The following is a 17,983-nucleotide window of genomic DNA, read 5'->3' on the forward strand; positions in this document are numbered from 1 at the left end:
TTATGTGAAACTCCCCTCAACTCTGTAGCTGTTTGTGTAACTTCCCTTATCTATGAAGCTGTGTATGTAACTCTCCTTATCTGTGTATGTCTTGGGTAAACACAAAGTGCAGCTTCTCTTGTTTGTGTAACTGTGGGTCTGTTTTAGGTAAGCTCCCCACCTCCGTGTGCAAGTTCCCACGGAGCTCACCACATAAATGCCTGAAAAGGGGAGGAAATTTTTTCCTGAGAGCCTGCTAATCACACAAAGAACAAAGGCTCTATGCTGGGCCTTGCTTTCTTATCAGTGCAGCTGCCATTTGGTTTTTCCCCAGGCTACTCTATTTATGCCTGTAGCTGTGATTTTTTCAGGCTCTTTCTCAGAGGACTAGCCTTAGTGGTCTGCCTAACTGATTTTTCCTTTTCTTCTCCCTCACTATTTCAGCTTATTTAAAAGGCAAGCATGTTGGCTTGTTTCTGGGTCTGCTTTGCGGATCTGCAGTTGTATTGTGCCTGGCACATAAGCTACAGAATTTGCTATTTGGGAGAGTGGGGAGGTACTTGCCTAGAAAATCAAGATGGTTGTGTTCCAATTCTGTTTTGGCCCCCAGTTAGTCCCCCTAAGTAAGACATCTTCTCAAGGTCCTTATTTCCTCATTAAAAACAATAAGTGAACGGGACTCGTTCTTTAAGTTCCTTTCTAAAACTGTGATTCTAAGGTGACTTGCAGGTTCATCTAACAAGACATAACACTCATAGTCTGTTTATGTTAAGTCACTTTTGAAACCTGCACGTTGTGCACAGGTACCCTAAAACTTAAAGTATAATAAAAATAAAAAAGAAAAAAAAAGAAATATTATCAGAAACCATCCAACATGATATATGAATTATTAAAATGTTTTTCTCCATTATGTTTCAAGTCAGAGACAGTAATTCAGAACTCCACTAGCATCCTATTTTTTTTTTTTTTTTTTGAAATGGAGTCTCACTCTGTCGCCCAGGCTGGAGTACAGTGGTGCGATCTTGGCTCACTGCAAGCTCTGCCTCCCAGGTTCATGCCATTCTCCTGCCTCGGCCTCCTGAGTAGCTGGGACTACAGGCGCCCGCCACCATGTATTTTTGTTTAGTAGAGACGGGGTTTCACCGTGTTACCCAGGATAGTCTTGATCTCCTGACCTCGTGATCCGCCCGCCTCGGCCTCCCAAAGTGCTGGGATTACAGGCGTAAGCCACTGCGCCTGGCCGCATCCTAATTTTTAAAATCAAAATAAGATGACCAGAATAATAAAACTTAGCATTCACAGTATTCAATCTAGAAAAAATATAATTAATAGAATGTTAAAGCCAAAAGAGCATTCAACAGACAGAAAGAGACAGGGGAGAGAGAAGGGGAGTAGAGAAAGAGAGAGAGAAAAGAGAAAGTGAGAAAGAGAAAGAGAGAGAGAGAGGAGGAGGAGGAGGATTGAGAGATGGAGAGTTTGTGATTGAGACTTCTCATGAAATGTATTTTAATGACAATTACTCCTTAACAACTGTGCATTGAGAATATTTGAACATATTGTTATAAGCTAGGGGAAAAAATCCAGCCCAAATGTCAAAACACAGAACCAAAATGATTCTGAATTTCCTAAAGACATATTTTGAGAAACAGAAAAATTATTTCCCATTTCTCTATCCCCCAGTACCAAAAGGGAGCATTTTACATTATGCACATCTTGATAATATTTTATAGAAAATAAATGCAAGGTATTTACAATTTAATTTAATATTTCCTCTTCAATTTGTTTTTTATAGCAGACATATTAATTTCATTTTGAACATGATATGCCAAATATCCCGAGTTTCCAGCAATGAAGTCATGTAACTCCCCAAGGAATTTCTTCATGGCATCAATTGATATATAATCTACAAAATAAAATAAAATAAATATATACAGATATATACTTGAAACCCTCTCATACTATTTGCTTTTCAGTGTCTTTGATTTATTAGAGTTAAGACTTCTAAAGAATGTTTTTAGAAAATAAGTAAAAAGAAGAAATAATACTAGTAAGAAGATTCTCCATGAAACCTTATAATTATCAGGGAACACCTCCTCTTCCCCTCCCACAACTTTCTGCCACCTTTTAAAAGATTAAAATGCGGATTAAAGTCGCTTTAACTATTGAGATTGTGAAGTCTAGGTTGGGGCTAGAACGTAAAAGAGACCAAAATAACTGGGAAGTGTATCTAGCTTAGAGGGTAATCACTTAGAACTATCCATCCAACTAGCTACTAACAGTATAAACAGTTCATCTTCCCTGTTTCAGCAGGCAACACTTTCCTGCACTGCTAACACTGGAATAGGATTCTTTTAACAAAAAAATTAATGAAAAATTGATGTTACTGCTCATTCAACAAAGATAATGGGTGAGAGTAATTTTGATGTCAATTAGTTATCCAAAACAGATATGAGTCATATAAAAAATGCTGCCTAGAATGGAGACAGCTTAAGGACTCTATGACTAAGCAATATTAACTTGATATCAGTTGCTTACTATTTAAATGATTACATTTTATGTGTAACACAAGTGTTTGTGGCTTTTACTAAAATTGAAATCTAATTTAAAAGTAAATATTGTGTGGAAAAAATTCTGATAAAGCTCAAGGATGACTGAATTTAGAACACCATACCATCAAGATCAACAGGATATCCATGCATATTGTTTAATCATTTTTAATAAAAAATAAATTCACAGTTAATAAATTAACTATGAATCCAACCATATAAAATTGACTAGTATCTTTAAAGATATTTTAATCATGGTCATTTACTTTAGGAGCTCCTGAAGCACTATACTCTATGAGTTCATAATCTTTGCCTAATGGCTATGTATCTGTGTAAAATAAGCTAGTGCAGAAAACTATCACTATTAGTGTTTAGTTAATTGCACATATACACTGTGTGAAACCTCTGAAGATGTGTGAGGATAGGAATTTAAAAATTACTACATTAGTAAAAAATATTCCTGTAAGTATAAGAAGGATAGGACATTTATGGCATCAGAAATAAATTATTGTAGCATTTTTGAATAGTTAAGGACTTTAGGATGAAATGGACAGAAACCTAATTTAAACTAACTTAAACAAAAGGGGAGTTTACTGGAAGGACATTGCCGTATCATCCGAGCTGTGAGGAAGGCAGGCATATTGCTGGGACTCAGAGTTAATTAGAACCAGCTATGATCGCTCTCACCAGTCTGAAGTTTTTAGGGTTTTTTTTCGTGTGTGTGTGTGTGTGTTTTGACAGGGTCTTATTTTGTTGCCCATGCTGGAGTGCAGTGGCACTATCACACCTCACTGCAGCCTTGGTCTCAAGTTTTTCTCTATGTATTAGCCTCATTTTCCTTTTTGGAGGCAAGTTGGCTTTCTTTTCATGGTAGAAAATACGGCCAATGACAGCTCCTAAGTTTTACATCTTAGAGTTTTGATCACCTAAATGAGAATGACTTGATTTGCTATGTTCCACATCTAAAAATCCAGAAGAAGATCTGCAATTAGCCCAGTTCAAATCAGGCATTCACTCTCAAAGCAAATGTTGAGCATGGGGAGCAAGCTCATGTTTAAAAAAATGTCTGTTCCTGTGTTATCCAGATAAATTGGGAGGGAGAAGGGAATTCCTAAGAAAGGCACTCCTGGTGGACAATCCCACATGCATCTGTGATAGCCAGCCACCCAGTGGCCCCAACTGATCCCCACCTCCTGATATTCACAGTCCACTACGATTTTGTACTTGGTTTGATCTGTATAACCAATATGACAGAAGTGATGCAATGTCACTTCTGAGAGTCGGATGTAAAAAAGACTATGGCTTTTCTTCTTGGGCATGCTCTTTCTTATTCTTGGATTTTTCACTCTGAGGGAAGCAAACTACCTACCATGCTGTGGATGGTCCTTATGGAGAGGCCCATTTGGTGAAGAGTTGAAGCCTTTGGCCAAAATCCAGCAAAGACCCAACATCTGCCAATAACCACTTGAATGAGGTTTGAAGTGGATTTTCCAGTCCCAGTTGTGCCTTGGAATGACTGCACTCCAGCTGACAACTTGACTGCAACCTTACAAAAGGCTATGAGACAGAAGTACCCAGCTAGGATACTCCTGGATTTCTGACCTTAGAAACTGAAATAATAAATGTTCACTGGGTCAGGTGCAGTGGCTCGTACCTGGAATCCCAGCACCTTGGGAGGCCAAGGCAGGAGGATTGCTTGAGCCCAGGAGTTTGAGCCCAGCTTGGGCAACACAGTGAGACCTCATCTCTATAATAAATAAATAAACAAATGTTCATTGTTTTAAGCTGCTAAGTTTCAGAGCACTTTGATTTACATCAATAACTAGTACAGCATCTATTATAGATTTCCAAACTTTTAATTATCAGAACCTTTTGATTTGAAAATTGTTGCCAGCAAAGTATTTATAATTATTAGTAATTGCTTTCTTACTCTTATTAATCACATATGTAAATGTCAATCAGAACTTCTTATCATGGGTGATAATAAGTGATATTAGTCTGAGGGAATTTAATTCCAGTCATAAGCTGAAAACAAAACAAAAAATCTTTTGATGTTTTAGGGGATATCTGGCAATGTCTAGGAACATTTTTGGTTGTCACAACTGGGGGAGAGATGGGTAATGCTATTGGTATCTAGTGGGCAGAGGCCAGGGTAAATATTCTTTTTTTTTTTTTTTTTGAGATGGAGTCTGGCTCTGTTGCCCAGGCTGGAGTGCAGTGGCGCGATCTCCGCTCACTGCAAGCTCCGCCTTCTGGGTTCACACCATTCTCCTGCCTCAGCCTCCCAAGTAGCTGGGACTACAGGCACCTGCCACCACGCCCGGCTAATTTTTTTTTGTATTTTTAGTAGAGACGGGGTTTCACTGTGTTAGCCAGGATGGTCTCCATCTCCTGACCTCGTGATCTGCCCGCCTCGGCCTCCCAAAGTGCTGGGATTACAGGCGTGAGCCACTGCGCCCGGCCAGGCCAGGGTAAATATTCTATAATGCACAGGACTGACACTCACCTACCCTCGCCCTAACGAAGAATTATCTGGCCTAAAATGCCAGTAGTGCCAAAACTAAGAAACCCTGTTCTAGGCTATTGCCCCAACGTGTACTTTCTATAACTAAAGACCACAATTAATTCTATTTTCAGAAATTTAATAGTCAATGAGTTGAACCTAACCCATCCTGAGGAAGAGATAGTCAAGTTTTAGTCACAAAAATTGATACCACAGCCTAAATTAGAACTCTTAGTCACTAAATGTTTAATTAACACAAGCTGATTTTTTCCAACAAGAAGTTATTCCTTCCTGTGCAAGCAGATGGGCATGATAAAAAAGAGAAGTACTTGTTATTTCACATCAAAATTAAAAACAAATACATTATCTCTAAAAATGAAGATTTCTTCCAAGAAATTGCTATTATTTAATGCAGAAATATGAAAAAGGAAATTTATTCAATTGAGAAAATAAAAAGATTAAAAATTTTTACTTTAGTTCTACCAATAAAATTCACAACAGAGTATTGCCACAGGTTGAAATTATACTTTTAAAATTCTGACTAATTTTTTAAGTTTTTTAAAATTTGTTTTTGTGTTACACTGTTATGTCTTTGTGAAAAATCAGACTGTTTCTTTATCCAGCAATAATACATAAAACAGCACTGTTACATGTCCAAATGTAGGCATATGTCCTTATCTATGGCTGATTTTAATATTTATCATTGCTCTTCTTTTTTTTTTTTTGAGACGAAGTTTCGCTCTGTCGCCCAGGTTGGAGTGCAGTGGCGCGATCTTGGCTCACTGCAACCTCCGCCTCCTGGGGTCACGCCTTCTCCTGCCTCAGCCTCCCGAGTAGCTGGGACTACAGGCGTCCGCAACCACGCCCGGATAATTTTTTGTATTTTTAGTAGAGGCGGGGTTTCACCGTGTTAGCCAGGATAGTCTCGATCTCCTGACCTCGTGATCTGCCCGCCTCGGCCTCCCAAAGTGCTGGGATTACAGGCGTGAGCCACCGCGCCCAGCCGGAATACTTTCATTTATTAACAAATGATATGACTAGGCACCCTGAAGAGCCAAGATGATCGATTAAAATATTCTTAGAATGTTAAGGAATTCCAAATGGGTAGATATAAGACCAATACTCTCAATTCAATAACTCAGAGTGGCTGCTTTCGCTCGCAAAGTGGAGGTATCTTCAAGGAAATCGGAACCCGTGGTGATCCCTGGCAACCCGATCTGTTTTTGGCTGTTTCTAAACATTAAGGAATGGAAACTCCATGGCGGCCCTAAGTAGCCTGGTTTCAGGCTCTCATGGATGCACTGATAGAAGGTGATACCTGTATGCTAAATTATGAGAAAACCACAGCAACTCCAATTTCAACATATTGAGGAGATGCTTCTGTTGCTTCCCAATTTGCCCATATGAAGACATCAAAAAAGGACTTAAGGATTCAGAGAAAGAGAAATCTTATGATAAAGAAAAGAATTAGATTTTTGGAAGAAAAGCTTATAGGAGCTCAATTAGATGAAGAAACAAGTTTTGTGGAATAGCAACAAGTAAATAAGGCCTATTATGCATATTGAAAGATTTGTGGCCCGGCGCGGTGGCTCACACCTGTAATCCCAGCACTTTAGGAGGCTGAGGCGGGCGGATCACAAGATCAGGAGATCGAGACCATCCTGGCTAACACAGTGATACCCCATCTCTACTAAAAACATAAAAAATTAGCCGGCATGGTGGCAGGCGCCTGTAGTCCCAGCTACTCGGGAGGCTGAGGCAGGAGGATGGCGTGAACCCGGAAGGCGGAGCTTGTAGTGAGCCGAGATTGCCCACTGCACTCCAGCCTGGGTGACAGGGTGAGACTCTGTCTCAAAAAAAAAAAAAAAAAAGAAAGAAAGATTTGCATTGATAGACATGATTTAAAGAGCAAATTGGATAAAATGAGTAAACACAACTCTGAATCTTTAAAAGTATTGAATAAACAGATGCAATCTAAAGAAGTAGAACTCTAGCTAAGGACAGAGGTGGAAACTCAGCTGGTGATGAGGAATTTCAATCCACCTTCATCAAACTGGGAGGTGGAAATGTTAAGCTGTAACCTGAAGATCCAAGGTTTGGAACAAGAGCTGATGAGGAAAGAATATAACGATCTCAAAATAGAACTACTCAAAAACCAAACAAACCTATCTGTATGAGGAAGACAATCTTGAAGAGCAGAGATCTCTGAAGAGTAAGAACTTCAAGTGATAATACACAGAATGTATACTGGCAACTGAAGAGATAAATGTCTAATTTATATCTGGTGACTCAAGTGCTAGCTGAACTATTAAGAAAACTGGAAACCCCAACTGCAATCAAGAAAGCCTGCACCTCAGTAAGATGCATTGAAGACCCTTGGAAAGACAGCACAAAACTGCACATGATGAATTTTACTGCAACATACACAAGACATCCCCTTCCCTGACCAAATGGCAAAGTTCTTTTTTATACTACATCTTCCCCTTTACCAGGAGATATAAAGGTTTTATCAGAGAAAGCAGTCCTCCAATCACGGACAGATAATGAGAGAGCCATTCCTAATGAGGGCACACACTCTTATGGCAGAAATTCTCTGGAAGATCATTTTGAGTATTCCCAATCCCTCCTGACTCAAGTGAGACAGCATTTAGGAAAATTAAAAGTAAAATTTTGCCTTTTAACAAATGTGCCACTACTGCATTACTTGGATCAACATAGTCAAAATTTCCTTTATAAGACTTAACTCTGAAGAGATTCATCATTTGATCAAAAGGACACTGTCTCTCAGTGGTTCTCTCAAGAAATTCTTAACAAACTAAACGTAGATTTTGATTAAAATTTTGTAGAGTTCTTTAGTATATGCATTTGAACATACTGTATGATATTATGTAGTTTATTTCCAGTATGAAAGAATACCCTCCAGCTCCATATTCTAAGAAACAGATATATGCTACTAATTTTTTTTTTTTTTGATACATGGCCTCACTCTTTCACCTTGGTTGAAGCACAGTGGAATGACCATAGATAGCTCACTGCAAACCTCAACTCCTGGGCTTAAGCAATCCTCCTGCCCCAGCCTCCCAAGTAGCTAGGACTACAGGAGTACACCATTACATCCAGTTAATTTTTTTTTTAATCTTTTGTATAGACTGGGTCTCTCTATATTGCTCCGACTGGTCTCGAACTCCTGGCCCCAAGCTATCCTCATGCCTCAGCCTTCCAAAGTGCTGGGATGACAGGTGTGAGCCACCATGCCTGGCCTGCTACCATACTAATTAATAAATACCTTGGGCCCAGAAGTTCAAGACCAGCCTCAGCAACATAGTGAGATGCCATCTTGACAAAAAATAATTTAATTAGGCTGGGTGAATTGGGGCACACCTGTAATCCTAGCACTTTGGGAGGCCTAGGAGGGTGGATTGCTTGAGGCCAGGAGTTTGAGACCAGCCTGGCCAACATGGCAAAAACATGTTTCCATTAAAAATACCAAAAAAAGTTGTCCAGGCGTGGTGGTACACACCTGTAGTCCCAGCTACTCAGGAGGCTGAGGCACAAAAATTGTTTGAACCCAGGAGGTAGAAGTTGAGAGGTTACGGTGAGCCAAGATTGTGCCACTGTACTCCAGCCTGGGTGACAGAGCGAGACCCTGTATCAAAAAAAAAATTTTTTTTTTTTTTGTTAATTAGCCAGGCGTGGTGGCCCACATCTGCGGTCCTAGCTACTCAGCAGGCTGAGGTGGGAGGATTGCTTGAGCCCGGGAGTTCCAGGTTGCAGTGAGCATATGATCATGCTACCTCACTGCAGCTTGGGTGACACAGCAAGATCCTGTCTCTCTCTCTCTCTCTCTCTCACACACACACACACACACACACACACACACAAATTAAGTAAATAAATAAATAAACATAAGGTGTTTAAGAAAGAAGAAAAACGCCTCTTTATACCATAATTTCCACATCTGAGAATTTACATGAAGAAAACTATCAAAAAAGTAGAGCAAGATTTACTTTTAAAAAGATGTTCATGGAGGTGTCATAAAAGTAATAAATTCTAGGCCAGGTGTGGTGGCTCATGCCTGTAATCCTAGTGGCATTTTGGGAGGCTGAGGAGGGAGGATCTCTCGCTTCAACCTGGGAGGTTGAGGCTGCAGTGAACTGAAATAACGTCACTGCACCCAGCCCTGGGGGTCAGAGTGAGCTTTTGTCTCAAAAAAAAAAAAAAAAAAGGTTAAACAAACAAAATGAAATGCCATATGCTGCCAGTACACATCATAATATCAAATAAGATTTTTCGGCCAGCCACAGGTGGTTTATGCCTGTAATCCCGCCACTTTGGGAGGCTGAAGCAGGTAGATCACTTGAGGCCAGGAATTTGAGACCAGCCTGGAAAACACGGCCAAACCCCATCTCTACTAAAAATACAAACAATTAGCTGGTGTGGTGGGGTGGCATAGTCCCAGCTGCTCGAGAGGCCGAGGCATGAGAATTGGTTGAACCCGGGAGGCAGAGGTTGCAGTGAGCCGAGATCACGCCACTGCACTCCAGCCTGGGCAACAGACTAAGATTCTGTCTCAATTAAAAACAAAAAACGAAGGTTATCACTGGGAGAGGATTTGGGAGAAATTAGGATTTTATACTAATTCTGTACTGCCTGATTTTTCATACATCAAGTTTGTATGATGTAAAAAAAATCAACGTCCCTAGTACTATGCTAACAAATGCTTCAGCAGGTAAATTGAGGGTATATTTTATCTGTGTTCACACTGCACCCTCTGGTGTTTCCACAGAGAAAAGGCTCTAAGTAGACACCTACCTAGGGTTTATTCATATCCTTTGTCCATTTCTGTTGTTTTTGGATTGGACATATTTTTCCCAGATTTCTAATACCTCTTTGTATATTAAGGAAATTAGCCCTTATGGGAGAAAAACTTGAAAAAATTATATAAATTACATCATTACTTTTTATTTTGAAGAAAGATAACTACTATTTGATCATTTATATTACAGCAGCTAAATACCAGACTGTAGGGTACCCCAGTCCCATCCTCCCCTCCCCTGATTCCACTCCTGGCTTGCTTTCTGTGTCCTGACCAAAAATCACAGAGGGCTTTGACTGCTCTGTGAGACAGCCCAGTGCAGGGTTTTCCCATCAGGCTTGAACTCAAACCAGGACCTTAAACATTTCCAGGCACTGATAAAGGTATCTAGGTTGCTGCTCAAAACACTGAATGAAATTGGCCTCAGCCCTGAGCCAGATTCCTTAAACCCTCATATAAACTCCATACCCAGACCCCCTCACTGTGGATATACCTAGGTAGAACACCCCTTATATCTTGTCCATTGCAAGGATTGGTGTGATACTCTGCAAGTTCCCTCAATAGATGCTTTAGACTGATTACTCTAGCTAGTGGTTCTTTCTTTAGAATCCCAACTGGCCCCAACTTGGGACAGTTTGGGGCACTCCGTGGTGGGGATTCCCCTGCCTCCACTTTTAGGTTGACTCCGGCCACAGGTTTGGAGGGATAAAACAGACTTCTGAAGAACCAATGTTCCCTATGAATATTTGAAAACCAACTGAATTGGAAAATATGGAACTAGGGCTAGATCATGTATAACTAGGACCTGCAATGAAAAGGCCTCTCATAAACTGGTCCTAATATAACGGCAAGGCCATGTTTGTTTGTCTTTTTAAGTTAATTTCTTGTTTTTCTTTGAGACAGAGTATTGTTCTGTCACCCAGGCTAGAGTGCAGTGGCGTGATCACGGCTCACTGCGGTCTCAACCTCCTGGGCTCAAGTGATCCTCCCACCTCAGCCTCCAAATAGCTGGGACTACAGGTATGTGCCACTATGCCCAGCTAGTATTTTAAATTTTTTATAGAGATGGGGTATCCCTATGCTGCCCAGACTGGTCTCAAATTCCTGGGCTCAAGCGGTCATCCAGCTTCAGCCTCCCTAAGTGCTGAGATTACAAGCATGTGCTACAATGCCCAGGCTAAATTTAATTTCTTAAACCAATGTAATATATTACAAGCAATTTGGAAAGAAGAGGGGAAATCACTCATCACTTTTCATCCTAATAAAATTACTGCTAATATGTAGTGTATTTCCTTCCAAGTAAAAAATATATTTTAAGATTATTTTGTAGTTCATAAGCATGATGATTGGGTTTTCACACACAGATACATATAATTTTTAAATAATGTATTAACTGTTATCATAACATACATAAAATCCTTGTCTCCTTTCTGCAGAGACAGTATAGTGTGCTATACTATGAGATAGTATAGTATTCTACATAGTAAATACCTGGTATAGTATTTAATGACTACCATTTAAATAATGGGCTCTGACTCATTGAAATCCTGCTTCTCCCCTACTTAACAAAGTTTATATGACTTTGGGGAAATTGCTTATCTTTCTAATCATAGATCTCTTTTTTTGTATAATGGGAATGACTTATAACGCTATCTATCTCATAGGAAAACTGAAAATTAAATGAGATAAGCACAAAATCAGTGGTCACAGATTTCTACATTGAATTGAATATCAATGAAGTTTATGAATTCAATACCTTTCGGATAATTCTTTTTTGTGCTATGTTGCTAGTTCACTGTTTTCCCTAAGGGTCTTTATTTCATTTGGTGTTACTTCATCATGCTGTGGATAGAAAAATAAATCACATTTAAAAAAATCGTCATACCAGTGATCCAATCAGTAATGTTTTTAAAAAGGAAAAATAAACTGGAAATATATATATCAAAAGCCATAAAAATATTTACACATTTAAGTCCACTCAGTCTAGCTTTGTGGAGAAAATTTACAAAATTTTGTCCACACAAACATGTAATTATACTATATATTTTTGGAGACACATAAAGAAGACCAGAATTTTAAATATACCAGCTGTGGTTATGTCAGATAAGTAAAACTTTGACTGATTTTATTCTCCTTTCAATTATTGAAATTTCCTCTAATGTGGTTATATTACCTTTTAGTCACAAAAATAAGGAAACAAAAAAACTTGCTACTAATTTAAACTTTCTTAAAATCCTTGACTTAAGGATTCCTGCGAGCTACAAATCAAAAATATAAAGTAAGCTGAACAAATTATGTTTCTCCTTCAAAAGGACATTGACGTATTTAGCTGTAAAGATAAAAAATGACTAAATGTATGTTAAGCTTTTTCTAAATATTCTGTGAAAGCAACTTAGATACTGGTACCTATCACATAATCTATTTATTTTATATACCAGTAAGAAGTTTCTTTTTTTAAATTTTTATTTATTTATTTATTTTTTTGAGAGAGAGTCTTGCTCTGTCACCCAGGCTGGAGTACAGTGGCACAATCTCGGCTCACTGCAACCTCCGCCTCCCAAGTTCAAGCAATTCTCCTGCCTCAGCCTCTCGACTAGTTGAGACTACAGGCGCCAGCCACCACATCTGGCTAATTTTTTGTATTTTTAGTAGAGACGGGGTTTTGCCATGTTGCCCAGGCTGGTTTTGAACTCCCAAGCTCAGGCAATCGGCCCACCTCAGCCTCCCAAAGTGCCAGGATTATAGGCGAGAGTCACCGCGCCCAGCCACCATTAAGAAGTTTCTATATTTAAATACAAACTTAAATCCACTCCAAACAATTGTAATGCTCCCCAGATTTACCCTAGTTATTGCCATTCAATGAATACCTTCCACGTATATATTCTATGGTTACATTATTATAATTGGCTAATACTCATATCAACCAATATTTTGAAAGAATTGACAAACTCTTTTATCATGTAATAATATAACTTCTAGAGTCAACGTCCATACAAGCACGTTTTAGTAATTTTTTAGTAGAAAAAACATTGGATTGGGTTAGAGCTGAGAAAATTTGGCTCCACTTTGCCAATGTGTACTAAAATGGGTCATTATATTTTCTTTACCTTAGTTTTCTCATGTATAAAGCTAAATGATGAAATTAATGATCTTTAAACTCTAAAGTTCTGCTAGAGTCAATAATTACCACCAAATAATAACCATTGCATTACTGCTCACGTTCCTGCAAACACTGTGAAAAGTCAAGGATTAGATATTTCAGTCTTTAGTACAACATACTATTACCTCCTAGGCAAAAAGACTGAAAGAACTATTATTTTCAGATGATGATGGCTTGGGAAGAAAAAACAAATTAATGACAGAAATATAAAATATATAAGTTGATAGCCTGATTTTGGACATAATGTAAAGGTTTTCTATATGATATGGCTGTGGGTTTCAAGTTTGAAAAAATAAAAATGAAAGATTTTCTCCCTAACTCTTTATTGTGAAAAATTTCAAACTTACCACAAAGTTAAAGAATAGTACAATAGGCCAGGCACAGTGGCTCACGCCTGTAATCCCAGCACTTTGGGAGGCCAAGGTGGGCAGATCACGAGGTCAGGAGATTGAGACCATCCTGGCCAACATGGTGAAACCCCGTCTCTACTAAAAATACAAAAAGTAGCTGGGTGTGGTGGCGGGTGCCTGTAATCCCAGCTACTTGGGAGGCTGAGGCAGGAGAATCGCTTCAACCCAGGAGGTGGAGGTCGCAGTAAGCTGAGATCCTGCCACTTCACTCCATCCTGGTGACAGAACAAGACTCTGTCTCAAAAAAAAAAAAAAAAAAAAGAATAGTATAATAAATACCATATACCTTTCACCTAGATTCACAAAGTGTTAACATTTCCGACACCTTGAGTGCCTCCTCTCTCTTTTTATTTTTGTGGAACCACTTGAAAACATTTGCAGATATGACATTTCCACTCTCTAATACCTGGCATGTGTTTTCTAAAAATATACATTGTTTTATCTTTACAACACCACTATCACACTTAAGAAAATAAAATGTAATACAGTATCACCCATTATACAGTTCATTGTTAAATTTTCCCAATTGCTCTCCAAATGTCTTTTATACCTCTTTTTTATGTCTCTTAATCTACTATGCTCCTATTGCTTTTTTTGTATTTTATGACATTAACTGATGTTAGAGTCCAAGTCAGTTAATTGTCTTGTGGTATGGTCCATATTCTGGATTTGTCTGAATGTTAACTCATAATTAAATTCGGGTTAAATGTTTTGAACAAGAATACTACACAGATAATATTGTGTATTTATTATATCATATCTGACTGAACATAATGAAAGGTTGCTCCAATATTGATGATGCTGTTTGCTAAGTTAGTTAAATGGTGCCTGCCAGATCGCTCCATTGTAAAGATATGCTGTTTAACTTTGTAACTAATAATCAATCTGTGGGTGATAATTTGAGATCATAGGTTTAGAATCCATTAATGACCTTATCTAAATCAATTATTATATTGAGGGTTTTTAAAATGGTGATTTTTCTATTTTATCTTTCTTTCTATATTTACTAGCTGCTATTTTTGTAAAGGAAAATTTCCCTTCTCCCACCCTTATCTTCCTTATTTTCTTCCTTCTTTCCTTTCTTCCTTCTGTCCTTCCTTTTTTCTTTATGTCTGCTTTTGGAGTATCATATACACGTATGGAATGCTTCACGAATTTGCTTGTCGTCTTTGCACAGGGGCCATGCTAATCTCTGTATTGTTCCAATTTTAGTATGTGTGCTGCCGAAGCAAGCACATGGATTCTTTTTACCTAACATATTATAATCCATTATTGTCATTATTAGTTTCAATGCTCAATTGTTCCCAAATTTGGCTATTACTTAAAGATTCTGAAGTAAGTTAAAAGCATAAGTAAATCTGAGGCAGGATGGCAAAAGCTACAAAACAGCTATTTTTCCAGTATTGTACACTATTTTTTTCTTTTTTTTCGTTAATCAGGCAGCCCCTGAACCAGAATAGGTTCAGACAGACTCTTGTACACATTTATTGAGGGGTGTTATTCAAAACATTGAACAAACAGCATGTCACAGAAATTAACCAATCAGAATCTACACTGGCAGTAAAGAACTGGTAAATACTATGCACCTGTTATTCTCTTCCTATTACTAACAGAAGCAAATTTTCAAGTTTCTTATAGGAATAATTTTATTTATACAAAATAACCTCAATTTTACTAATGTACTACTATAAAACAAAGTCAAACAAAATAATATTCAATAACAGCATGCCCTTTAAATTTCTTAATCTGTGCCGGGCACAGTGGCTCACGCCTGTAATCCCAGCACTTTGGGATTACAGCACTTTGGTCAAGGTGGGGGGATCACTTAAGGCCCGGAGTTCGAGACCAGCCTGGCCAACATGGTGAAACCCCATCTCTACTAAAAATAAAAAAATTAGCCGGGTGTGGTGGCACATGCCCATAATCCCAGCTACTTGGGAGGCTGAGGCAGGAGAATCGCTTGAACCCAGAAGGCAAAGTTTGCAGTGAGCCGAGATCGCGTTGCTACACTCCAGCCCAGGAGACAGAGTGAGACTCCGTCTCAAAATAAATAAATCAATCTCTTAAACTGACTCATTGGTGCTAACATGTCACAAGTAAACATTTTAAAGATAACTTTGCTTTCAGAAAATGTTGAAACTGTAGATTCTAATCAAGTACCTTAATTTACTCTTACCTTTTCTATCAGAAAATGTTGGTCTTGTTCTCAAATAAAACTACCAATTTTTCTTCTTATTTCTGTGGTGAGAAAAACAAATCCAATATTTTTTTTTTGGAATCTTCTGAATTTTGCTTAAAGTCTGAAATTTCTAGGCCAGTGTTATTCTATTTGCAACAAAATCACATAACACACTTGTTAAAATGCAGATTCCTATTGAATCAGATCATTGAGGAGGAGCTCTGGAATTTGCATTTCTAACAAACTCTCCAGATGATTCTAATACACTTTGCTAATCATTGTTGTAGACGTTTCCTGCTAGAATATATCTATATCTATATCTGTATCTCTATATACATTAGATGTATATATATAATTGAGATATGTTCATCCACTCTTATATCTATATTTGTATCTACATATACATTAGATATACATCAATATCTATATCTGTATCATTAGATATACATTAGATGTATATGTATACACATGTAGATATACATCTACATATATATATCTCTATATATAATAATGCATATGTATCTATATAATGCATTAGATATATATTAGATGTATATCTAATGTCTATATAGCTACAGATATTGATACAGATACAGATATATAGATATAGATATAAAAAAGGGGTGGATGAACAATATGTCTAGTAAACATGGTAGTACAGGAATTCTACAATGGTCAGTATGTCAAACAACAATGTCGTCATCCAAACTCAATGATCTCAAAAGTTTTCACAGTAGCCAAAAGGACAAAAAAGGTAATATTACCCTAGACTTTTGCTGTCCAGTATGGCAGCCACTAGCTACATGTAGGTACTGAGCACTGGAAATGTGTGGTTAATCCAAATTGAGAGGTGCTGTAAGTATAAAATAAATACAGGATTTTGAAGACTTAGTATCAAAAAAATGTAGGGTATCTCAGTTTTTATAGATTATATATTGACATGATAATATTTTAGATATATTAGGTTAAATAAAATATATTCCTAAAATTAATTCTACTCACTTAATTATTCAATTAATTTTTTTAGAGAAGGGGGTCTCAGCTTGTTGCCCAGGCTGGAATGCAGTGGCTATTCACAGGCGAGATCATGGTACACTGCAGCCTCAAATTCCTGGGCTCAAGGAATTTTAAAATTCGCATTTTAAAAATGCGAATCAATGGATTTATTATCATAACCAATCTTTAAATATCAGAAGAAAAAATTAGAAAAATAATGAAGGGATTCAAAACTAGCAAAGAATACATTTATTAAACGCTTACCACATCAGATACCTTAATACATTATCTTATTTTAAAAAACAATTTGAAATTATTAAAATAAATAGAGACAGGGTCTCACCATGTTACCCTGTTGCCCAGGCTAGTCTTGAATTCCTGGGCTCAAGAGATCCGCTCCCCTCAGTTTCCCAAAGTGCTGGGATTACAGGCACGCCCTACCGCGCCCGGCCTATTATCTCATTTTATCCTCAAAACAACTTCAGAGAAGTAACTTGCTACAAGATCACAAAAGTAGTAAGCATCAGATCATAGCCTGTGAAGTTAAGATCTGCGTCTGTCTTATTCTCCACTGAATCCCCAGCACCTACCCAGGTTGAAACCTGGCACACAGGAAGAGCTCAATGAATGTATGAATAAACAATACATAAACAAAGTCAGGATATACACCCAAGGCAATCTGATCCAAAGTCCATGCTTTTTCCACTTATGTTAAATAGATACAAAATTCAAAAATATGTGACTGAGAGTAAAATAAGTACAGTTGAATTTGGCTGTTTAACAGAGATTAGCTGGATTTGGCTGTCTGACAGGGATTGGCTGAATGATCTTTGCTAACCTTTTTGCAGGCACGCAGGAGGAAGAATGAAACGACCCAAAGCCACCGAGTTTTTTATTTCGGCATTAGCTACTGCAGGGAGATAGTAGGCATGAAAACCTGTGGCATTATCCTCTATGTAATCAAGACTCTGATATATTCTAGGAGAAAGAAAGGAAATATTTTAGGTTATGAAAGAAACAAGAATGTATTCAAACTTTCAAAAGAATAAATAAATAACTGGAAGTAGGGAGACAATTACATTGAAGCATACATGTATGCTGTCCTTTTCTGGCAAGGAAGGAAAAACATATGGCATAAGATACTACTTTCTGGGGGCCTATATCTGGCACATCTCAGCTTTACAGGGTTGGTTAATGACCATATGAATTAGGAAACTTGATATAAAACGGTCGTGTTCACTGGGCATCAACAGTGGATAGAGCTAGCAGCCTATGGGGCTTATCCATGGTCATTGCTATAAAGAGGGATCAATTAATCCTGAGGTGAAGAGTGCGCATGCAATCAGAGAAACCTTCACATATAGAAAGCAACATATTTTCTATAGATGGAGATA

At 38.0% G+C, this 17,983-nt stretch overlaps 3 pseudogenes; 1 reads left to right on the forward strand and 2 right to left on the reverse strand.

Annotated features, from left to right (window-relative positions):
* Window positions 1,567-17,569, reverse strand: LOC100420928 (telomere repeat binding bouquet formation protein 2 pseudogene; annotated as a pseudogene).
* LOC100129830 (5-azacytidine induced 2 pseudogene) lies at window positions 6,904-7,984 on the forward strand (annotated as a pseudogene).
* RNU6-1108P (RNA, U6 small nuclear 1108, pseudogene) lies at window positions 14,552-14,650 on the reverse strand (annotated as a pseudogene).

This window comes from Homo sapiens, chromosome 15, assembly GCF_000001405.40.
Source record: "Homo sapiens chromosome 15, GRCh38.p14 Primary Assembly".
Taxonomy (NCBI): Eukaryota; Metazoa; Chordata; class Mammalia; order Primates; family Hominidae; genus Homo; species Homo sapiens.